General features: G+C 57.1%; 1 protein-coding gene across 4 annotated transcripts, besides 6 other annotated features; it reads right to left on the bottom strand.

Annotated features, from left to right (window-relative positions):
* Positions 209-328: an enhancer, noted in NCBI's record as "active region_19332". NCBI's record gives its function as "activates an Ori minimal core promoter by ATAC-STARR-seq in GM12878 lymphoblastoid cells {active_cell/tissue: GM12878}" and the evidence as "EXISTENCE:reporter gene assay evidence [ECO:0000049][PMID:35858748]".
* Positions 1,932-2,226: an enhancer, noted in NCBI's record as "tiled region #5053; HepG2 Activating DNase unmatched - State 4:PromP, and K562 Activating DNase matched - State 8:EnhW". NCBI's record gives its function as "activates a minimal TATA promoter and a strong SV40 promoter by Sharpr-MPRA in HepG2 and K562 cells {active_cell/tissue: HepG2 | K562}" and the evidence as "EXISTENCE:reporter gene assay evidence [ECO:0000049][PMID:27701403]".
* Positions 1,994-2,222: a silencer, noted in NCBI's record as "fragment chr22:51058893-51059121 (GRCh37/hg19 assembly coordinates)". NCBI's record gives its function as "represses an EF-1alpha promoter that drives an FKBP-Casp9 reporter gene in an ReSE screen in K562 erythroleukemia cells {active_cell/tissue: K562}" and the evidence as "EXISTENCE:reporter gene assay evidence [ECO:0000049][PMID:32094911]".
* On the bottom strand, positions 8,709-21,894 carry MAPK8IP2 (mitogen-activated protein kinase 8 interacting protein 2). Of its 4 annotated transcripts, none has more exons than XM_011530679.3 (12): positions 21,804-21,894; positions 20,793-20,898; positions 19,189-19,464; positions 18,968-19,061; positions 17,623-18,849; positions 17,244-17,319; positions 16,953-17,125; positions 16,753-16,862; positions 15,922-16,029; positions 15,696-15,766; positions 12,377-12,475; positions 8,709-11,980 (listed from the first exon to the last, which is right to left on the bottom strand). In XM_011530679.3, exons 1-12 carry the CDS (start codon positions 21,866-21,868, stop codon positions 11,908-11,910), a joined length of 2,478 nt encoding a protein of 825 aa, XP_011528981.1. In that variant the 5' UTR covers positions 21,869-21,894; the 3' UTR covers positions 8,709-11,907. The 4 variants fall into 4 exon arrangements, with proteins under 4 accessions (XP_011528981.1, NP_036456.1, XP_011528982.1 ...); NM_012324.6 differs by having other exon boundaries at positions 17,623-18,846; XM_011530680.3 differs by having other exon boundaries at positions 17,623-18,735.
* Positions 12,676-13,460: an enhancer, noted in NCBI's record as "H3K4me1 hESC enhancer chr22:51047655-51048439 (GRCh37/hg19 assembly coordinates)". NCBI's record gives its function as "activates a minimal SCP1, AML or CMV promoter by ChIP-STARR-seq in naive H9 embryonic stem cells {active_cell/tissue: H9 hESC(naive)}" and the evidence as "EXISTENCE:reporter gene assay evidence [ECO:0000049][PMID:30033119]".
* Positions 21,015-21,515: an enhancer, noted in NCBI's record as "H3K4me1 hESC enhancer chr22:51039601-51040101 (GRCh37/hg19 assembly coordinates)". NCBI's record gives its function as "activates a minimal SCP1, AML or CMV promoter by ChIP-STARR-seq in naive H9 embryonic stem cells {active_cell/tissue: H9 hESC(naive)}" and the evidence as "EXISTENCE:reporter gene assay evidence [ECO:0000049][PMID:30033119]".
* Positions 22,305-22,484: a silencer, noted in NCBI's record as "silent region_14003". NCBI's record gives its function as "represses an Ori minimal core promoter by ATAC-STARR-seq in GM12878 lymphoblastoid cells {active_cell/tissue: GM12878}" and the evidence as "EXISTENCE:reporter gene assay evidence [ECO:0000049][PMID:35858748]".

The raw sequence follows: 22,484 nt of genomic DNA, 5'->3' as shown, positions 1-22,484 counted from the left end.
TGGCGGGCACATGTGCCTGCGTGAGCCTGTGGTGTCAGACAGTGTGCTGAGGACTCTCCACGCAACCGTTTCATCCCTTTTCATCTGGTTTGAGGGCTGCATTGACCACACCCCAAATCCTGCTGTGTTTGGAATCACCCCCATAAGGTGGTGGTTTCCTTGGGGTGCCCAGCAGCCCCTGATGCTGGCATAAGGGGGGCCCTTGTGCACTTGTGGTCCGAGTGGAGGTGCTGGCCCCAGGTGGCGCTGTAGAAAGTGAAGCAGAGGTTCCTCTTCAGACTTTCCTCCCCATCTAGGAGTAAATAGTAACTTCTCTTAAAAGCAAAATTTATTCAAAGACCTGTACTAACATTCTTAAATAACTGCTAGCCGAATAAAGAACTCAATGTCCTTTATGTTCTTAGCTCCCACAATTTAGCCTAAATATCTGCCCTGGCATGCTTAAACTGGCCCAAGCAAGCATTACGTCACAGCCTGTTCCTCTTCCTTATTTGAAGGTGTTTTTACCTTTCTCATCATTCCACAAGTTACTTCCTCCTTCCTTTGTTCTCCTCTCTCTTTTCCTCTTTTAAAAAGTGCTAAGTTGCTAGCCAATCGGGACAAATACAGAACGTGAGGTCCCGTTCCAGCCGATGGAAACCGGACACGGCAGTAAGGTGGACGCATCAGGTTACAAATGACCCTGTCCCCTTTTGTTCGGTGTACTCTCACGGCAAAACTGCTGGCGAGTGTACCCTTTCTGCAGAAAGTATAAAAGAAAATTAAATTTATGTTCAAGTGCTGTTTCTTTACGGCACCGAGGAACAAGCATTTCAAACAGCGCTGTGGTTCAAGATGAGGGCAGAGAGGAACTGAACTGGAGGCATGATTCCAGTATCACACGAAAGACCAAACCCTCTAGCAAGAACTAAATGAATACTAACACCCAACCACAGTCTTCAGGCACCTCCTCCAGCTCTGCTGCTCCACTTCCTCTCACTTGGGTAGTGTGCATAACTGAGTTAATCCCACCCGTGTTTATGCATCAGCACCGTGCAGTGCTGGGCATGGGGTTGTCAGAGGAGACCCACTCTGCACTCACCGGGCTTACAGTCTAGCAAAGGAGATGAGCTTAATCCCGGGATGTCAGATGCACCTGAAATTTTCAGTGTGATTGAAGTCACTGCCTCTGGTAGGGTGGGGTGTGTGGAGTTGCCTGACCAGGGACACCAGAGAACCTGTGGGTGCTACAAATCTTCCAAATCTTAAGGGGTCATAACATGATGCATGCATATGTATAAAGCGATCAACCCACACTCGCAAGCTGTGCACACTTTATGACGTCATTGCGTATTTTCTATTTCAGTAACAATCTAACCATAATAAACGCTACAAACGAAGGGTACCTGGTCTTACAAGAACATAACCAAGAGGTGGGGGTGGAAAGATAAATGAGCTCTGAGGAGGGTGTTCAAATGCACTCTGCACCCAAGGATTTTTCCACTCCCCCATTCCGCTTTTGGTTTTGCTCTGATTTGTTTGTGTTCAGAAATGCTTTTCACCAGTTAGCTGTTTGAGCCGGATGCACCCTCCTCACACAGGCATGTACACGTATGCGTATGTGCACATGTGTATGCATACAGAAATACGCACGCATGCACACTCACATTCACGTGCACGGAGGCACATACACATGCATCCGGGGATACGTGCCCCCCGGGGACGTGCGCACGTGAACACACAAGGACTCACCCGTGCACACAAGCATGCATATACGTGCATATTTGCAGTGACATACACACTGTTACTGTTGATTTACAAAACAGCCCCTTTCCTGTGAGCCTAAGATAATCTATTCACCAGGCTGGCAGCCATCCATTCCCACAGAGCAGCTTCCTCAGGGAGCTCAGTGTCCTCTCGAAGGGGCTAAGAGTGTTTTGAAATGGACAGAACAAACAAACAAGTTGATTCTGTGGTTTCCCCTCAGGTGCGTTAGGAAGGAAGAGGGGATATCCGGCGCCCAAGTGATTGCGTGAACGACAGGGTAAGAGGGGGCTCCTGCAGGGAAACTCCCCTCCCCTCCCTGTGGCCCCTCCTTGGCTGTGTGCTCGTCTGTCCCCCAAGTGACCAGAAGGGGGAGCCCAGGGAACGTTTCAATGGAACAATGTTTAAATTCACCTCTGAATTTTTTTTTTTTTTTTTTGAGACGGAGTTTCGCTCTTGTTGCCCAGGCTGCAGTGCAATGGCGCGATCTCAGCTCACCGCAACCTCCGCCTCCCAGGTTCAAGTGATTCTCCTGCCTCAGCCTCCCGAGCAGCTGGGATGACAGGCATGTGCCGCCACACCCGGCTAATTTTGTATTTTTTAGTGGAGACGGGGTTTCTCCATGTTGGTCAGGCTGATCTCAAACTCCCGACCTCAGGTGATCCGCCTGCCTCGGCCTCCCAAAGTGCTGCGATTACAGGCGTGAGCCACTGTGCCTGGCACCTCTGAATATTTTTAATTACGAAAGTAATGCATATTCATTAGAGAAACTCAAGTAATGCCCGCTCATCTCAGTCCCAGGTAGCCAATGCTATCAGTTTAGGGTTTGGGGGGCGGGCACACACCACATTGTTCTCCACATTCATGCAAATTATGTATTTTGGCCCCAGGCGTTGATTCAACTCTAACCTCACCCCCTGCTGCACCCTGGACACTGCCTCTCAGCTGTCTGATGTGTCCCCTCCCTTTTGCAGCCCTGAGCCTGGTGCAGGGGGTCAGTAGTAATGAAGGGGGGAGTGCATTTATTTATGCCCCCTCCAGCCTCCTTGGCTCCTTTGTGTGAAGGCCGAGAGCCTTCCTTGTGGATGCAGCAACATGGTGAAACCCAGTCTCTACTGGAATACAAAAAATTGGCCAAGTGTGGTGGTGTGCGCCTGTAATGCCAGGTACTCAGGAGGCTAAGACAGGAGAGTCACTTGAACCCTGGAGGCGGAGGTTGCAGTGAGCCACGATTGTGCCACTGCACTCCAGCCTGGGCGACAGAGCAAGACTCTGTCTCAAAAAAAAAGAAAGAAAAGAAAAAAAGAAAAACAAAGAAAGAAACTGTGGCAGCCTTATTGCTGTTTAAGGAGAAAGTTTAAGTGGTCTGCATAGAAGATCAAACAAGCCAAAACATTTCCTTAACCCAAAGTCTAATCCAGAGCAAGGCCCTAATTCCCTCTGATTCTGTGAAAGCTGGGAGAGATGAGAAAGCTGCAGGAGAAAAGCTGGAAGGTAGCAGAGGTTGGTTCATATGGTTTAAGGAAAGAAGCTGTCTCCATGATGTAAAAGTGCAAGGTGGGGCAGCAAGTGCTGATGGAGAAGCTGCAGCAAGCTCTCCAGAAGATCCAGCTAAGGTAAGTGATGAGGGTGGCTACAGTAAACAATAGATCTTCAGTGTACGCAATTTTTTTTTTTTTTTTGGAGACGGAGTTTTGCTCTTGTTGCCCAGGCTGGAGTGCAGTGGCGCAATCTCGGCTCACTGCAACCTCCGCCTCCCGGGTTCAAGTGATTCTCCTGTCTCAGCCTCCTGAGTAGCTAGGATTACAGGCATGCGCCACCAGGCCTGGCTAATTTTGTATTTTTTGTAGAGATGGGGTTTCACCATGTTGGCCAGGCAGGACTTGAACTCCTGACCTCAGGTGATCTGCCTGCCTCGGCCTCTCAAAGTGCTGGGATTACAGGTGTGAGCCACCGCACTCGGCACCATCTGTGACTTTCATAGCTAGAGAGAAGTCAATGCCTGGTTTTAAAGCTTCAAAGGACAGTCTGACTCTCTTGTTAGGGGCTAATGCAGCTGGTGGCTTTAAGTTGAATGCTCATTTACCATTCTGAAAATCCCAGGGCCCTTAAGAAAGATGCTAGGCTGGGCATGGTGGCTCACGCCTATAATCCCAGCACTTGGGGAGGCCGAGGCGGGTGGATCACGAGGGCAGGAGATGGAGACCATCCTGGCTAACACGGTGAAACCCCATCTCTACTAAAATTACAAAAAATCAGCTGGGCGCGGTGGCGGGCACCTGTAGTCCCAGCTACTCGGGAGGCTGAGGCAGGAGAATGGCGTGAACCTGGGAGGCGGAGCTTGCAGTGAGCCGAGATCGCGCCACTGCACCCCAGTCTGGGCAACCGAGTGAGACTCTGTCTCAAAAAAAAAAAAAAAAAGAATACTCATGATTCACAGGAAGAGGTCAAAATATCATCATCATTAACAGGGCTTGAAAGAAGTTGATTCCAACTCTCATGGATGACTTTGAGGTGACAAGTCCAGTGGAGGAAGTAACTGCAAATGTGTTGAAAGTATCATAATAGCAAGAGAATTAGAGTTAAACGTGGGCCTGAAGATGTGACTGAATTGCTGCCATCTCACGATAAAACTTGAACAGATGAAGAATTGATTCTTATGGACAAAGAAAGTTTTTTTTAAATTTTCTTGTTTATTTATTTATTTATTTATTTAGGTAGAGATGGGGGTCTCACCATGTTGCACAGGCTGGTCTTGAACTCCTGGGCTCAAGTGATTCTCCTGCCTTGGCCTCCCAAATTGCTGGGATTACAGGCATGAGCCACCGTGCCTGGCTGAAAGTGGTTTCTTGAGATAGAATCTACTCTTGGTGAAGATGCTACGGACATTGTTGAAATGACAACAAGGGATTAGAATATTGCACAGGACCGAGTGTAGTAGCTCAGGCCTGTAATCCCAACACTTTGGGAGGCTGAAGTGGGAGGATCGCTTGAGACCAGGAATTTGAGACCTGCCTGGACAACATAGTGAGACCTCATCTCTCCAAAAAAACGTTGGCTAGGCACCGTGGCACTTGCTTTAGGTCCTGGCTACCCGGGAGGCTAAGGTGGGAGGATCACTTGAACCCAGGATATCGAGGCTGCAGTGAGCCATTATTGTACCACTGCACTCCAGCCTAAGTGACAGAACAAGACCCTGTCTCTTAAAAAAAAAAAAAAAGAATATTACATAAACTTAGTTGATAAAGCAGCAGCAGTGTTTGAGAGGGTTGACTTCAATTTTGAAAGAAGTTCTACTATGAATAAAATGCTATCAAACAGTGTCACATGCTATAGAGAAATATTTCATGAAAGAGTCAGTGTGGCAAACTTCATTGTCTTAATAAATTGCCACAGCTGCTCCAACCTTCAGCAACGACCACCCCGATCAGTCAACAGCCATCAACACTGACGCAGTACCTTCTACCGGCAGAAAGATTATGACTCACTGAAGGTGGAGATGATCACTGGCATTTTTTTAGCAATAAGGTGTTTTCTTTTTTTTTCAAAACAGAGTCTCGCTCTGATGCCCAGGCTGGAGTGCAGTGGCATGATCTTGGCTCACTGCAGCCTCCGCCTCCCGGGTTCAAGCGATTCTCCTGCCTTAGCCTCCAGAGTAGGTGGGACTACAGGTGCGTGCCACCACGCCTGGCTAATTTTTTTTTTTTTAAGACGGAGTCTTGCTCTGTCACCCAGACTGGAGTGCAGTGGCGTGATCTCGGCTCCCCAAGTAGCTGGGACTACAGGTGCCCGCCACCAGGCCCGGCTCATTTTTTGTATTTTTAGTAGAGACGGGGTTTGACCGTGTTAGCCAGGATGGTCTCGATCTCCTGACCTCATGATCCGCCTGCCTCAGCCTCCCAAAGTGCTGGGATTACAGGTGTGAGCCACTGAGCCTGGCCACGCCTGGCTAATTTTTTATATTTTTAGTACAGATGGAGCTTCATCATGTTGGCCAGGATGGTCTCAATCTCCTGACCTCATGATCCGCCTGCCTCAGCCTCCCAAAGTGCTGGGATTACAGGTGTGAGCCACTGAGCCTGGCCACGCCTGGCTAATTTTTTATATTTTTAGTACAGATGGAGCTTCATCATGTTGGCCAGGATGGTCTCAATCTCCTGACCTCGTGATCCCCCCGCCTTGGCTTCCCAAAGTGCTGGGATCACAGGCATGAGCCACCAAGCCCGGCCCTATTTTATTTTATTTCTTTTGAGATGGAGTTTTGCTCTTTTTGCCCAGGCTGGGGTGCAATGGCGCAATCTCGGCTCACTGCAACCTCTGTCTCCCGGGTTCAAGCAATTCTCCTGCCTCAGCCTCCCAAGTAGCTGGGATTACAGGCGCCTGCCACCACATCTGGCTATTTTTTTTTTTTTTTGTATTTTTAGTAGAGATGGGGTTTCACCATGTTGGCCAGGCTGGTCTCAAACTCCTGACTTCAGGTGATCCACCCACCTCGGCCTCCCAAAGCGCTGGGATTACAGTTGTGAGTCATCGTGCCCAGGCTCAATAAGGTATTTTCAAATTAAGGTATATACTTTAAAAGCTATTGCACATTCAATAGACTACAGTATAGTGGAAACATAACTTTTTTTTTTTTTTTGAGACAAGTTCTCACTCTGTCATCCACACTGGAGTGCAGTGGTGTAATTACAGCTCACTGCAGCCTCAACCTCCCAAGCTCAAGCAATTCTCTCACCTCAGCTTCCTGAATAGCTGGGGCTACAGGCACATGCCACCACACCCAGCTAATATATATATATATATATAAAATATGCATGTATTTATATATATTATATACATGTATATCTATATACTACATACGTGTATATCTATAAAATATACAGGTATACAATATATATACAGACCGGGTTTTTTTATGTTGTCCCTGCTAGTCTTAAACTCCTGGGCTCAAGCGATCTGCTTGCGTTGGCCTCCCAAAGTGCTGAGATTACAGGCATGAGCCACCATTCCTGGCCAACATAACTTTTATATACGCTGGAAAACAGAAAATTTGTGTGGCTCACGTTGTTGCAATCTTAGTGTGGTGGTCTAGAACCAAACCTGCAAAATCTCCAAGGTATGCCTGCAGCGACCTCTGCTATTTTGCTTTTATCTTTTGCCTTAAATTCTTCTTGATTCCCCTAACCTCCCTCTGCCTTCAACCCTCAAGTAGAAGGGAGACTGGAAAAAATACACCAAAATATTAGAAACAGTTATCTCTGGGCCATAAAAATACAGTTGATTTTAGCCTTTCTTCTATCATCTGCAGTCTCCAAAATGTCTATGATATGTGTTACTCTTTATAGGGAACGTAATTTTTTTTTTTTTCTTTTAGACAGAGTCTCACTCTGTCTCCCAGGCTGGAGTGCAGTGGTGCGGTCTCCACTCACTGCAAGCTCCGCCTCCCGGGTTCACGCCACTCTCCTGCCTCAGCTTCCCGAGTAGCCGGGACCACAGGTGCCCACCACTATGCCCAGCGAATTTTGTTTTTGTATTTTTAGTAGAGACGGGGTTTCACCGTGTTAGCCAGGATGGTCTCGATCTCCTGACCTGGTGATCCACCCGCCTCGTCCTCCCAAAGTGCTGGGATTACAGGTGCAAGCCATCACGCCCAGCCAGGGAAAGTAATATTTTTAAAAATAGGGAAATCCTACTTTTATAGTGTTTATAAAAATAATAACTTACTCAAGCACTACCCTTGGCCTGTCTGACTGGCAGATTCATTTAAGCCTTATGATAACCTTATGGGGTGGTATTTTTATTGTAGCCAAAATAACTTTTTTGTTTGAGTTTGATTAATTTATCTTAACTTTTTTATCTTTAGTTTTTCTGTGGATATTTCCATTTGCACTTGGAGGTCTCTAATAAGTAGCAAATAATACTTCAAAAAATTAAGACATATTTGCTGCAGGAAAAAAAGGAAGAGAAACACCCTCAGCTCAACTTCAGCAAAAATGAGGTGGTTTTTTTTTTTTTTTTTTTTTTTTTTTTTTTTTTTTTTGAGACGGAGTCTTGCTCTGTCTCCCAGGCTGGAGTGCAGTGGCGCGATCTTGGCTCACTGCAAGCTCCGCCTCCCAGGTTCATGCCATTCTCCTGCCTCAGCCTCCCGAGTAGCTGGAACTACAAGCGCCTGCCACCACACCCGGCTAATTTTTTGTATTTTTAGTAGAGATGGGGTTTGACCGTGTTAGCCAGGATGGTCTCGATCTCCTGACCTCATGATCCGCCTGCCTCAGCCTCCCAAAGTGTTGGGATTACAGGCATGAGCCACTGCGCCCGGCCAAAAATGACTTTTAACATTTTTTGTGTTTCAGCATTTTTCAACATATAGTTTCTAGAATGCTACATATGACCCTGCCTATTTTCTTTCTTTCTCTTTCTTTCTTTCATCTCTCTCTCTCTCTCTCTCTCTCTTTCTCTCTCTCTCTCTCTCTTCTTTTCTTTCATTGTGGTTACAGGGTCTTGCTCTTTCCAGCCAGAGTGTGGTGGCATGATCATGGCTCACTGCAGCCTCAACCTCCTAGGCTCAAGCTATCCTCCTCCCTTACCCACCCAAGTAACTGGGACTACAGGTGTGTGCCACCACACCTAGATAATTTTTGTATTTTTTTTTTTTTTTTTTTGTAGAGATAGAGGTTTCGCTTTGTTGCTCAGGCTGGTCTCGAACTCCCAGACTCAAGGGATCTGCCCACCTTGGCCTCCCAAATTGCTAAGATTACACAGTAGCATGAGCTGCTGTGCCCAGAAATTTATTTCCACTTAATAGCATAACAGAAATTTTCTGTGTAATTACAAACATTGGAACTTTTTTTCACATCTACCCAATATTTCAATTAGGTAAATATACCTTAATCAATTAACCCTATTGGTCAATATTCAGATTACTTTTATGCTTACATTATTTCAAAGAAGAATGCAATAAACACTTTTCTGTAGAACGCGTTTTATTTAGAACGCCATCCTTGGGCTAGATTGGCGGAAGTTGGAGGCGTCATGCAGCGCCTCCTGCCTGGGAGCCAGGCGATCCGCCAGGTTCTGGGAGGACCTAAGGTCAACAGCCACGCCTGCTCTCTGGGCTCACAGTCAGCAGCCGCTACCAGGAGAGCAAGTCCTCAGAAGGCCCGAGACCAGGGCCCGGGAGCGCCCACAAGGACGGGAGGTCACCCAGTGACAAACAGGGAAGGGCAGCAGGTGCGCCCAGGAACCCAGAGGCTCCCAGAGCAGAAGTGGGATGCAGGGGTGGGGGCGGGTCATGCTGAGGTTCAACAGGGACCTGCTTCCTGGTTCAACAGGGAGCTGGCCAGAGAGAGGGATCTGCTGAGGCTTCTGTTTAAAAACCCTGGCCTGGGTGTGGGTGCAAGTGGATTTGCAGGTGCAGTGAGGCAGCGGCCGGAGCAGGCTGTTGCACGAAGACCCAGGAAAGTCAGGGTGGTTTGATCCAGGCAGAAGAGGGGGAAATGGAGCCTGGGGCAGACGTAAAGGTGCTGGGGTGAGGATAAGGGTGACAGGAGGGAGGAGTCTGGGGTGACCAAGGCCTGCAGCTCAGGTGACTGGGAAAAAACATAAAACAGAACACAGATGAATGCAGGGGTCGGGACGAAGGCTCCTGTGAGTCTGAAGTGACTGTGAGTGGCACCCTCTGGCCAGCCACAGTGGCTCTCACAGCTCATTCTGCAGAGCACCGGCCCAGTGATGAGCCGAGGAAGTGCCCCTGGAGGTCAGCTGGATCTGCCCAGTGGTCTGCACAGGGGGCGGCTGCCAGGGGCCTGAGCACAGGGAAACCCTCGAAACTGTGGGAGGGATGAAGCCAGAGAGGTAGACCCCAGAACCGACCAAGCCCAGCATGGGGCGTGGAGGGCGGCCAAGCTCAAGAAGACCATGAGATTGGAGAAGGAGCTGCAGAGAGGTGGAAGGCAGACAGGCGAAGGACTCACGAGCACGTCCAACAGCCGTCCTAAGGGCCGGCTGGAGGGAAAGAGACCTGAAGACACGTTGGGGGGCGGGGCCGGGCAGGGGCGGGGCCAGGCCGGGCAGGGGCGGGACGGGGGCGCCGGAGGGCAGGGCTTGGAGAATTCTCACCTGAGTGGAAGAGCAGAGGGAGGAGGTGGGTGGGTGGCAGCGGTTTCCAGGCAGCAGCTACAGGGGACTGAGGGCCACACCCCGAATGCCCTAGCCCAGGGGGCACAAGTTTCAAACGTACACACCCAGTGGGGCTATCTGCCTCTTTACAGCTTTATCTCAATTAGTAGGAAAGTTTTCTCATAAACGTTCTGCGTTTCCGTCGTGCCACTGGTCTGCGTCCTCGGTCTCTCTGGGGCCTCAGGTCTGTGCGCTGCACACGGGCTGAACCTCTGGATCATGATGCACTTCCTAACACTGGGCAGCTATTTCTCTGCTTGTTGGCTCTGTGAAGACGTGTTTTTTACGGACAGCACTTTCTAATGTTTATGTAGTAAGTTTGTGTATACTTCCCTTAGCTCACTAAGGAACCTTCAACTGTTGTCTTCCTGGTGTTGCACGAATCCTGGGCTCAGACAGAGGGACCCCGGCCATGCTGACCCCTGCCTGGGAGGCGGGCTCACCCAGGAGGGCCTGGGAGGGAACATTGCCGGGCATCTGCAGTCACCTAAGCACATAGTGAAAAAGTCACCTATTTTCTTCTGGCTTTCTCTGGAGAATTTTTTAAATATCCATTTTAAGATCTAAGTAGATTGTTTTTCTTTTCCTTTTTCTGAGACGGAGTCTCCCTCTGTCGCCCAGGCTGGAGTGCAGTGGTGCAATCTTGGCTCACTGCAACCTCCGCCTCCCAGGTTCAAGCGATTCTCATGCCTTAGCCTCCTGAGTAGCTGGGATTACAGGTGTGCGCCAGGACACCTAGCTAATTTTTGTATTTTTTGTGGAGATGGGGTTTCACCATGTTGGCCAAGCTGGTCTCAAACTCCTGACCTCAGGTGATACGCCCCGGCTCGGCCTCCCAAAGTGTTGGGATTACAAGCGTGAGCCACCGTGCCCGGCCAGATTGTTCTTCAAGGAGTTCATGCCCCCACTACACACTGACCTGAGCCGTGCTGGCCCCCAGTCCGTGCACGTGGAAAGGACACCCCATTGCACAGCCTCGGATTCCTCTGTGGCCAATCGAGTGTATCTAGGGAGAATTCCCAAGGGTGCTTCTAGATACGGCACCTCAGATAAGGCCCCAGAGCAGCACCGCAGGGACCCCCGGCACAATTTCGGAAAGAGCTAAAAGGGTGAGATTGCCACAACACTCCCGCCACTGGGGACTCTGTCCCTACCACAATGGGCAGCCCCTGGGCACCTGGCCCCATGTCTTAGCACCCTCTAGAAACAGCCAATGTCACACCAAGCAGAGAGTTTATTGAGGCCATGGGCAGGGCCCAGGAACACAGCACGGGGCGTGCGTGGGGTGGATGCACGCTGGACTGCAGGGGTGCGCTAGCAGCGGCAAGCGGAGGGGTATTGGGGGCCCAGGAGGGCCCCCCCTCCTAGCAGCGTCTAGGGGCTTCAGGTGAGCATCAAGAACCACTCCTAGCCTCCGCAGGGCTCTTTTGGGAACCCCTCCCTGCTTCCCCCTGAGCTCCATGTGGGGTGGGGCTGGGGCGAGGGGGCCCCTCTTGTCCCTGTGGTCAAGGATGGGATGATCCCTTGAGATTCACTATAAAAATTAAAATTCCCTTATAAATCGCAGGGGAGTGGCAGGAGGGCATCACTTGGAAGCCGACATTACCTGTCCCTAGAGCCGCACCTCCTCCACACCCCCGAAGTTCTGACCCCAAAGTGAAGAATAGAGGATAAGGTTTGCAGGCACAGAGAGGGGCAGAGACACCAGGAGAGAGAAAAGGGAGACTGGGAAGGGAAGGAGGAGGACAACACAGAGAAAGAACGGATCTGAGGAAAAGCAGGGGCACGGGGGCTCCACTCCCCCGCAGCCCCAACAGCTGCGCCCTGGGGACCGAGGACGAGAGTTCCCAGCCCGCAGACCCCCACAAGCGTAAGGTCCCATGTCCCCCCAATCCAGTCCTTGCCAAAGCCATGGTGGCCTCTTGAGACATCCTCAGCCCCAGCTGCGCCTGGAGCAGACGGCCAGGAGACAGAGCGGTGGGCAGGCTACTCCAGGTAGATGTCCTCCGTGGGGCAGGCGTACGCCAGGTGCTCTTGGTAGTACTCCAGGAAGGCGCGGCTGGGGAAAGACGGTCCTCCACCAGCCACTCAGGGCCGGTCCTCAACCCCCAAACTGCCTTCCACAGAGCCTCTGAGCTCTCCCTCCTTCCTCCCTCTGCAGCCATCCATAACCCCCCACCCAGGCATGGCCATGTCACCCCCAAGTGTGACCCTCAGCTCTCCTGGCCCAGCAATTCTACCCCTGCCAGAGTGCCTGGGCCATGTGTCTGTGCCTGTTCCCACCCCATGCCCAGCACCCCAAACTGTCACCCACCACTGCCCTCTCTACACAGCACATCTGGTTCTCCTTCCCCAGACCTCCCCTGCCAGGCTCCTGCCCCCACCTGCTCACCTCCGCTCCCCACCTCCGTAACCCTGCACCCATTCTGCACCCACACCCTGGGGCCCCACTCACCCCACACTCTGCGCCACCGGCCTCATGGACTCCTGGGAGACAAAGACGTGGCAGGCGAAGCGGCTCAGCAGGGGGTGTTTGGTGATGAAGCCGAAATAGCTGCGGGCAAGTCAGTGTGGAGGGCACGTCAGAGCCCTGGCCCAGCCTTGGCCACCCCACAAATGATGTAGAGAGAAGAGGCAGGAACAAAGGGCTTGGGGAGAGGGTAAGGGACAGGAGTGTGGGGGTCGCACAATTTCAAGATCTGAAGTTGTCTTTTTTTGGTTTCAGCCCAAGCACAGGGCTGGGCACCTACCAAGAGTTCACGCTCTGAGTTAATTCCATGATGACCAGGGGCGTCCACTCTCCCTTCTCTGAGCCGGTGCTGCTACCCTCTGTGGCCCTATTCAGGGCCTGCCCCAGGACCACAGAGCAAGGCCTCTGCCTGGCTACTGGAGACCATATCTCCTGCCAACTCAGGCCTCCTCCTGCGGGCCTAGCAGACTGACAGCCCCTTGCCCAGCTCCGAGGTGGGGCTGGACGTTACCCCTGGTCTGTAAAACCCTCTTCCGGTCTACCCCTCGCTCCCACTGGAAAGCAGCTCCTTGCGGGGCCTCGCTCATGGAGTCACTGCCCAGCTCCTCCACCCAGACATTAGCAAAAATCAAAAATCGTCGTCCAGAGGGAGAGGCAGGCAGAGTTCTGCAGCAGGACGCTGCCCCACCCCCACCCCTGAAACTGGCCGACCCGTCCATTCCCCCATGGCTTCGGGGCTTTGCGATTCCACCAAATGGGAAGCCACATGATGGTCTGCTTGCCAGGACAGTGTGTGCACGCTGTCCACAGACAGAGCACAGGGCCCGCCTCAAATGCCGCGTTCAAGTCATGATGGTAATAAGCGCCGACCCACAGATCTGGCTTCCTGCATTACTCAGGCACCATCCTCTGCCCTTTCCATTAACTCACAGAAGCCTCACAACAGCCCTCTGAGGTAGGGCCCTGATGGAGAGCTAGGCACAGAGGTTCAGGAGCTTGCCCAGGACACACAGGCAGGATGGGCAGCCCTGGGAGAAAAGGCTACAGTCTGTGATCCCAACACCAGACATCCTAATGCCAGATCCCAACACAGCACACCCCACGCTCTCCTGACCTACCACCACCGCCATGAAGAAACGAGTTCATCGTTCACCTCACACGGTTTCGTCCGTGCCTCCTCGTGGCAAGGGACCGGGGACGGGGGGTCTGGGGTGACAAATATTAGGAAGGTCTGGGCCAGGGCAGCAGCTCCTCCACCTCCTCCCACACCCCTGCCACATCTTGACTCCAAACCCCAAACTCGACTGACCACCTTCCTCTCACGAAATTCTAGCTGGGGCCCTGTCCAGCCTGAGACCTGAGCTTCACCCAGTTTCCTTCTGATGAGAAATTTGGGTCATTCTTCCTCTCCTGGCAGCGTCCGCTGTCCCAGTGACCCCAGAGCTGTCCCCACTGTCTGGTCTGCGCCCCGTCCGCTGTCCCAGTGACCCCAGAGCTGGCCCCACCGTCTGGTCTGCGCCCCGTCCGCTGTCCCGGTGACCCCAGAGCTGGCCCCACTGTCTGGTCTGCGCCCGTGCCCACTGTCCCACCTCTCCACCCCAGAGCTGTCCCTGCTGTCTGGTCTGCGCCCCTGCCCGCTGTCCCACCTCTCCACCCCAGAGCTGTCCCTGCTGTCTGGTCTGCGCCCCGTTCGCTGTCCCGGTGACCCCAGAGCTGGCCCCACTGTCTGGTCTGCGCCCCTGCCCACTGTCCCACCTCTCCACCCCAGAGCTGGCCCCGCTGTCTGGTCTGCGCCCCTGCCCGCTGTCCCACCTCTCCACCCCAGAGCTGTCCCTGCTGTCTGGTCTGCGCCCCGTTCGCTGTCCTGGTGACCCCAGAGCTGGCCCCACTGTCTGGTCTGCGCCCCTGCCCACTGTCCCACCTTTCCACCCCAGAGCTGGCCCCGCTGTCTGGTCTGCGCCCCTGCCCGCTGTCCCACCTCTCCACCCCAGAGCTGGCCCCGCAGTCTGGTCTGCATCGCTGCCCGCTGTCCCACCTCTCCACCCCACTGAGCAGCGTTTCCGCATGGATCCCATCAGACCATCTCTGCACTCGGCGGGGACAACACAAAAGGGCTCCGCACCTTCCAGCAGGCAGCACCCTCACTCTCGACCACAGGGAGAGTCCACAAGGCCCCCAAGATGCACTGACGTCTGTCCCACGCCTCAGTCCTGGCAGCACCGTGCCCTGCTGTGTCTTGCCTGTCTGTGAGCCTGCTTCCTCCAACTCCCCGCAAGTCCTTTCCAGCCTCTGGCTGGCTCTGCCTCTCTGGTTCCTCCCAGATCTCCTTCCTCTAGGGTGCTGGGACACAGAGGGCAGGGGCCTGTGCCTGGAGGGAAGCTGGCAGCCCCCCTTGGCCTGCTGCTCCTATGCCAGCACCTCCTCCTCCCCTCCTCCCCTCACCCTGCCTGGCCATTCCCCTCTCGTCTCAGTGATCTACCTGCTCTGACCTGGTATCTTCCCTCCAGGTCTCCCTCCTAAACTCCAGACCCATGGGACCAACGGCCACTTCAGTCTCACCGTTTGTGATTGATCCCGCATCCCCTCTCGGTGTGTGGGCTGCAGTACAACCATCCCCCAGGGAGACGTCACCCTGGTCTCTTCCAGGTCACCCTCTACAGCCGGTCAACCTAGGTCCTGCCTGTACTGCCTCTTCAGTGCCTCTTGCATCTGCACACTTGGTCTCAGGACATAGCACCTGTATAACCTCAGCAGCCCCCAGGTCCCCTGTGTCACCTCCTTCCATTAGGAGCCTTCTATGGCCTCATTACCAGCAAGATTAAGTACAGCTCCTTGGCATAATCAAAAGGGTCCAGGTCTTCCCCGGCATTTCTAGCTGCTCCCCTTACACGCGGGCCCCAGAGCCTATATAGCCCCCGACCAGTGCATCCCACACCCTTGGCTCAGCTAGACCCCACCAGGAAGATCCACTTCCCCACCGCTGTCACCTGCTGTGTTTCCAGGCTGGCCATCCTGAGCCCCAGGCCCACTCAGGCGTCCTCTGCACCCACACAGGCTTCTCACATCCTTCGCCCGTGTGCCTCTCTCCACCCAGACTGGATGCAAGCCTGTCTGACCCACGCCTCCTGAGTCCAGCTCAGAGCAGGCGCCACTGCAGGCTCAGCTCACAGAGCTAAGTGGGTGCAGGTGGAGCTCTCAGGGCTGGGCACGGGCAGCCCTCAGGGTCTGTGGGGACTCAGGGGGCGGTTGGACTCTCAGGGTTTGTGGGGGCGGTTGGGGGACTCGGGGACGGTCAGACTCTCACCAGCTGTTGCGGGGATGGCAGCCGCAGAAGGAGATGTTCTTCATCTGGAAGAAATGGCTGCAGCGCTGGAACTAGAGCAGAGGTGGGCAGAAGTCCCTGTGTCAAAGGAGGCCTGGCGCCACCCCTGCCTCCCACCTACTGGACACCCCTGCCAGCCTGGCCCCGTCGGACTCCGTGGCCTAACCCTATCCCCCAGTCCCCGGTCCCCAGTCCCCCACACTCCCACCTCGGGCCCTCCTCCGCTCAGACTCAGCTTGACCCCCCGAAGAGAGATCTCGAGGTCACAGGAGGCAGGAGGGCGCAGGTGGACGGTCAGTTTCCGGGCAGTGGCAATCTACAGAAGAAGTTGGGGGAGAAGAGGGTCTTGAGGAGCCCACAAGGGCCTTTCTTTCCCCTTGGTGGGACTACGCCTCTGCTCCTTTTAGCTTATGTTTGAGGACACACATGCTGAGGACCCTGAGATGCAATTCTGGAAGACATAAGGGGTGTGGCCTTGGCCACTCCTCAGGCTCAGGAGGAGCAATCGCCTCTCTGCAGTCAGCTTGCTTCATCTTCCTTCTGCTCCTCCAGGCAGGCTGCTGCGCTTGGCTCAGGAGCCAGGAACAGAGACCTCACCCGCCCTGGGCTGCTCTGCCCTGCTCCCTACTGCCCCCCAGCCTCAGCCTCAGTACTGGTGCCTGGGCAGGTGCTCACTAAACGTCCACTGAGTGAGTGGATGAGTAGAGGGCTCCCAGGGAAGGGGCTGTGAGGGCTGGTCTTGATTCCAGATGGGAAGAGGAAGGGCTGATGGCAGTCGGGGCCACCTGGAAGATCTGTGGCCCAGAGACCCAGAGGTGATGAGGGACAGCTGCTGTGCTCTGCCCTAGACTCACCTGCTCAGGCCTCTGAACCAGGGCCTGGGGTACCCACCCCGAGCTCCCCCTGCAGCATCCCCCAGACCCTCCCTGGAGGAAATCAGACCTCAGACCTTGGAGCCTCAAGCCCTGTGCCAGCCTGCAGTGCTGGTGTGGCCGCCAAGCGGACCCTCAGCCTGCACTTGCCCGGCCTCCACACTGACCTTCTGCATGGCTGCACACAGGATGCCGTTGCCCTGGTGGCAGGGCACCTCCACGGAGCCCAGGAACTGCACGTCAAAGCGCTCCACCCAGCAGGGGCTCCGCTTACTCCCTGGGGAGCGGGGCACAGAGGGCCCAGGTCAGGCAGGGGCACAGGGGAGGATCTGGGGTGAAAAGCCTCCCCTCGGGGTTGGGACCTCACCCAGCAGGTCCTTGGCAGGGCCGGGCACCGCATGGGCGTAGAAGGCAGGAAACACACCGCGCTCCCCCGTGCGCATGTTGAAGCCACGGAACCAGAAGTCGTCCTCCTCGGCCTCCACCAACACAGGGTCATCCACATCCAGCTCCAGCTCGTCTGGATGCCGCGGGATGAACCTGCCGTTGGGGGAGAGGTCACTGGGGAGGGGGGCGGGATTGACGGTCGTGTCCACTGGCGTTCCGTGATGGCAGGGACTGAGGCTGGGGCCACCGCCAGCAAGGAGGGAGGCCGTACCTGAACACAGCCCGGTGAGTCTGCTCTCGCTCCTCGCCGTTGACCAGACAGGAGAAAAGGCCAAAGGACTCGGTGCCTGGGAGACCCGGCAGGACAGAGGCGGGGGAGACAGGGAGACAGAGTCAGAGTAGTGCTTAGAGGCCTGGCCTTGGGCAGAGGCCAAGTCCCCTCCACAGTCCGGTGTAGGTGTCCTACGAGCGGGAAGGAGCTGAGGCAGAGCAGGCCACCTCATGCCATGTCCTGGGTGGGAGAGGGCACCCAGCCCTGACCACAGCCAGACCCTCAGGTGGCCCTGGGCACTGTGGGGGACCCTGGGACTGGGGCCAGGGAGTCTGCACCTTCCTCTGGGCCACCCCCCTTTTCCCCACCTCTCACTCACTGGAGGACCGAGATGTGCTGTTGACGAAGACATTGAGGAACTTCTTGGAGAAAGTGAGGTCAGGGCTGTCCGGCGAGGTGTCCCCCGAGACCTGACCGCCGCCTAGCAGCGCCGCGCCCGCCTCCTCCTCGCTGGCCTCCCCGCCGCTGTCCTCTTCGCTGTCGTGGCCCAGCCCAGCACAGCGCCGCAGGCTCACCAGCTCCAGCTGCGTGTGCTCATCCACCACCAGCGTGTACTTGACCGCGTCGTACACCAGCGACGCGTCCCGCGGCGCCGAGGGGCCCGTGCCCCTGCCCCCGGGGGACCCCGCACTGTCCTCGGCATCCTCCTCTTCCTCGTCGTCCTCTTCGTCCTCCTCCTCGGAGCAGGCGGCGGAGCAGGCTCGTCCCGGGCGGGCGGCGCGGCCGGGCGCGGCCCACAGCGGCGTGATGGTGTCACGCGTGGGGTTGCTGAGGAATAGGCAGGGCCCGGGCTGCGCGGGGCCGGGTCGAGGCGCGGCGGGCGCGGGCGGCGGCGGCGCGCACAGCGTCTCCATGTCCACCAGCTCCACGCCGCCGGGCCCCGCGGCCGCCTCGGGGTCCTGGGAGTCCTGGGCGGCCCCGCCGGCCGGCGACACGGGCTCCCCGGGCGGGCGCGGCGCAGGAGACAGGCACTGGCCGGGGCAGCGGATGGGCGAGGAGCCCTCGGAGATCATGCGGCTCACCAGGTTGCTGAGCAGCCAGGGCGAGTCCGCGTCCTCGCTGAGGTCCGGCTCCGACTCCGACCCCGACTCGTACTCGCTGTTGGTGTCGTCGGGGCCCACGGGCAGGAAGGCGGGGCGGCGCGGGGGTTCGCGCGGGGGCTCCGGCTCCGAGGCGGGCGACGAGGCCTCCTCGATGGAGTTGGTGAGGTGCGAGGAGCGGCCGCTGCTGCTGCTTCCGCCATCGCTGCTCAGCTCCAGCTCCGTCTCCGAGATGGACGAGATCATGCGCCCCAGGCGCGCGCCGCCCGCGTCCTCCGAGTCGGAGCCGGGCGAGGACAGCTCCTGGCTGCTGCGACGTCCCCCGCGGCCGCCGCTCGAGCGGCTTCTCAGGTCAGCCTCGATGCCGGGATCTGAGGAGGGCGAAGTCCCCCCTGGCGCAGGGGGTTCCGCAGGCCGGTTCCCTTCGCAGTCGCAACCCGGGCGCACTGGCGACTGCGCCCCGCCGGGCCCGGTGTCCGTGGCAGGGAGGGGGCCCGGGAGCTCTGCTGGGCAGGGAGGTGGGGTCACCCTCTCTGCACCACCCAGGCCTCTTCCAGCAGCCAGTCCATCCTCCCTGCCCTCCTCCCCCGCTTCCCCGCGCCCCGCGGGCCCACCACCCCTCACCTCTGAGGGCCTCCGGGGCGGGTGAGCATAGCGCTGTCTCCTGCCAGGAGGCCGGACGCACCAGGTCAAAGCCTCCGTTGTTGTTTAGGGAGTCCTGGGGTGGAGATACATGACGGCGGTCCTGAGGAGGGCCAGCTCCCAGGGGGTGAGCAGGGCTGGCTGCAGCCCAGGTGCTATGAACCCAGGCTCAGCTCCAGGGAGCTGTGGGTCCGGGCACTCACCTGGGCCCCCAGTGTGGTCAGACGGAGGGTGGTGGGCCGGTGCTTGTGGGGCTCCTCCACGGAAGGGGAGGGGATAAGGGGCCCGGGGGCAGGTGCCTCTGAGCCAGGGTCTCCTCCCTCCTGGCCTTCCCCATCTCCCTCCTCCTCCTCCTCCTCCTCTTCCTCGTCCTCATCGTCCTCCTCTTCATTGTCATCGATCATCTCAAACTCCTGGAAGTCATCCTGGAAGGAGCAGATGGGGTGCGGCTGCTCCGAGCGCCCCAGGGAGAGGCTGTCCTGCAGGACGGAGGGAGATAGCAGGGCTGGGCCAGAGGGCAGCAGTAGCCCAGGGGCCCAGGTGCTAGGAGAAGGGAAATCGGGGAGCATCAGTCAAAGGAGAGCCCCTTCCAGCTCACTCTGCCCCTCTGTCTACAGGGCGATGTTTTCAAAATCTGCCTAACACACATTGGGATCACTCCAGTTCTTGGGAAGGGCCTAAACTCTACAGCTGAATGACAGGGATTCTCAGAGCAGCCCCAGCCCCACTTTCAGACTCATCTAACTGCAGAACCCCATCACATTTGACACCAGCACTGTGTTCCCTTCGCAGCGTTTTAACACAACTTACAGTTACTGGACATGGTTTTTGGTCTGTTGCAAGCCCCACCAGGGCAGGGTCATGTCCATGTTATGCACTGTTGCACCCGCCCCCAAGAACAAGACCTGGGGCTCAGCGGATGTTCAGTAAACATCAAACAGATGCAGAAATGGAGAGACAGCCTCTGCACTCTGAGGATTCACCAACTTTGCGCCAACCCCAGGGCCATTGGCACAGTTATTCCCCATGCTGGCACTTCCTCTCCTCCATTCCCTCCTACCTACCCCATCTGCCTGGCTCTGCTAACCTCAGGGCATGGTTGACATTTCCTCTGGAAATTCTCCCTGATTCCTTCAGTGTGGATTGGGTTCCCTTCCCCCTCGTGGAACTTATGTCCCTGTTGGAATGCAGCCCTTGACACGTGGGCAGCCATTGTCCCTTACAAGTCTTTCTCCCCTACTAAGTTGCAGCTCCAGAGAGCAGCTGTCCTGTTCCACTCCCAGCACCCAGAAGCCCCCAGTACTTGCCACATGGCAGTTGCTCAGAAATGTTCTTCAATAAATGAAAGCAGAAATGTGGAGAGACAGGGAGGAGGAGAAGCAAGAGATGGACGAGAAAAGATTTCAGCAGGGGGAGACATGAAACAGACAGATGGGAGCTGCAGACGAGGGCACAGGGCTGCAGAGGGGACAAGGTTGTGATGGCAGCTGCCAGGGATTAGATCTTTCTGGGAGTGATCTGAGGACAGAGGGCACCCAAAGCAAAGGAGCACCTCCCTGCCCCGGGCTGGCCACCGATGGGGTCGGGGAGAATGCTGGGGAAGGCCCTGCGTGGAGGCCTGCAATGTGTTGGAATAAGAGAGAGTTGATACCAAGGAAACCTCAAGGGTTAAGTGGGGAGGAGCCATCAGAGGAGTCCCCGGTTCAAGGCTGAGCTCACACCCACCCTAAAACCCCAAGTGAACGCTAAGAAGAACCTAATGAGGCCCTCCCTTGAGCTGGATCTGTGTCCCCAACTCTTCTCCCACCTTCTCACAGTGGTCTGAGTCGTAGCTGAGGCCCAGGCCACAGTCATCAGTGATCTCAGACAGATCTTCGTCGTCAAATTCTTCCAGGCTTATGTCCTGGGGAGGCCTGGAAAGGAGACCAGGGTCAGAGAGCCACCAACCCTGGACTCCCTGCCTGGCAACTGGCCCTGAGGAGGGGCAGAGGGAGGCGTCAGCTCCTACACCCAGTGGTTTCCACAGCCCCCAGCTCTCGGAACACATCCTGCCATCATCTTGACCCCCAAGCTCTGCTCGCCTGTGGATCCCCTCCCCCATCTGAGCCAGGCCTGCCCGGAGGAGCCAACCCTGCCCCCACCCCTCCCACCCCGCCTCCCTGGAGAGCCAGCAGCCTCTCCTCCCTCCACTCGCAGCTCCAGGCCCCTGGGGTCAGGGTCTTGCAGAGCAGGGGAGGGGGAGCTGCAACGCGGCAGCGGCAGATGGGGAGGGGTCGCTCCTGCTCTGGGAAGAGAGTCTGGCCTGTTTGTCTCCCCCTCTCCGGCGGAGTGAGGCCTAAACCCAGAGGCCCAGCGTCCTCCCAACCCCAGTCCCTTCCCGCAGGGCTCCGGGCTTGATTTCCACTCTCTCCCGGCCGGGCCCTATCGGCCAGGTCTGGCGTCCACTGAAAGAGGCCAAGGCCACCGGGACACGCCGCGCCGGGAGGGTGTGCCCGCATCCCGCCCGCATCCTCCCCCGCAGAGGGTCGGCCCAGGGCCTCCACCCTTGACAGGTCAGCCGTCCAGGCCGGGCGCGGCTCAGAATCCCGGCGGGGCCCGGGGGTCACTGAGGCTGGGGACGCGCGGTGAAGATGGAGGGAGTGGGAGCGGGGTGGGGGTGGGGCGCCCGAGCCGAGGCTCAGGGACCGCAGGGGGCCGGGGCCGGGTCCGCGCCGGCGGCGGGGCTGGGGCGGCGGGGACGGGGGTCCGGGCCGGGTCGGGGTCGGGGGGGTGCGCAGGGAGCGGAGGGTCCGCCCGGCCCGGGCGCCGAGGGGGGTACCTGCAGCCCGGCGGCGACAGCGAGTGGAAGGTGGAGAGAGAAAACATCTCCGCGCGATCCGCCATCTTCTCCGGGAGAGGCCCGCGACTGCGGCGGGGGGTGCGGGAGCCTCGCCGCGCCCCGCGCCGGCGCTCGGCCCGCCCCGCTCACCTCGTGACACGCCCTGCGGCGTCCGCCCCGCGCACCTCGCCCGGACTCCGCGGCGGCGCGGGGAGGGCGGCGGGGGAGGCGGGGGAGGGACGCGGCCGGGGACGCTGGTTGGAGGAGAGGCGGCGGCTTCACTGCCGGGCGCTGGTTGGGGAAGGGCCGGGCGTGCGATGAGGATTTTTCCCGGGGAGGGGCGGGAGGGAAGGGGCGGGCGGGTGGGCGTCGGGCCCCGCCCTGGAGGACCCGCGCGGGGCGGGAGGCCGAGGAGGCAGCGCCGGGGTCCGCGGGCCTCGGGTTCGCCGTGGGCTGTTTCCTCTGGGCGAGAGGCCGGGGCGGCCCCGGGAGCTGCGCCGCCGCGCCCAGGATCCCCCCAGGAACCCTAACCCGGGTGCGGCCCGGAGCGGGGTGGCGGGCGAGGCGGGAGGCGCGGGAGGAGCTGTCCGCCGTCGGGTGCTGATCGGAGCTGTCCCCACGGGGTGCTGACCGGGGCTGCACGGGGACGTCTGCACGAGGGTCGCCGAGCAGGGCTGGATT

The sequence above is a fragment of the Homo sapiens genome, chromosome 22 (genome assembly GCF_000001405.40).
Source record: "Homo sapiens chromosome 22, GRCh38.p14 Primary Assembly".
Lineage (NCBI taxonomy): Eukaryota > Metazoa > Chordata > Mammalia > Primates > Hominidae > Homo > Homo sapiens.
Note: the sequence above shows the minus strand (reverse complement) of the source record. Positions and strands in the feature narration are given on the sequence as shown.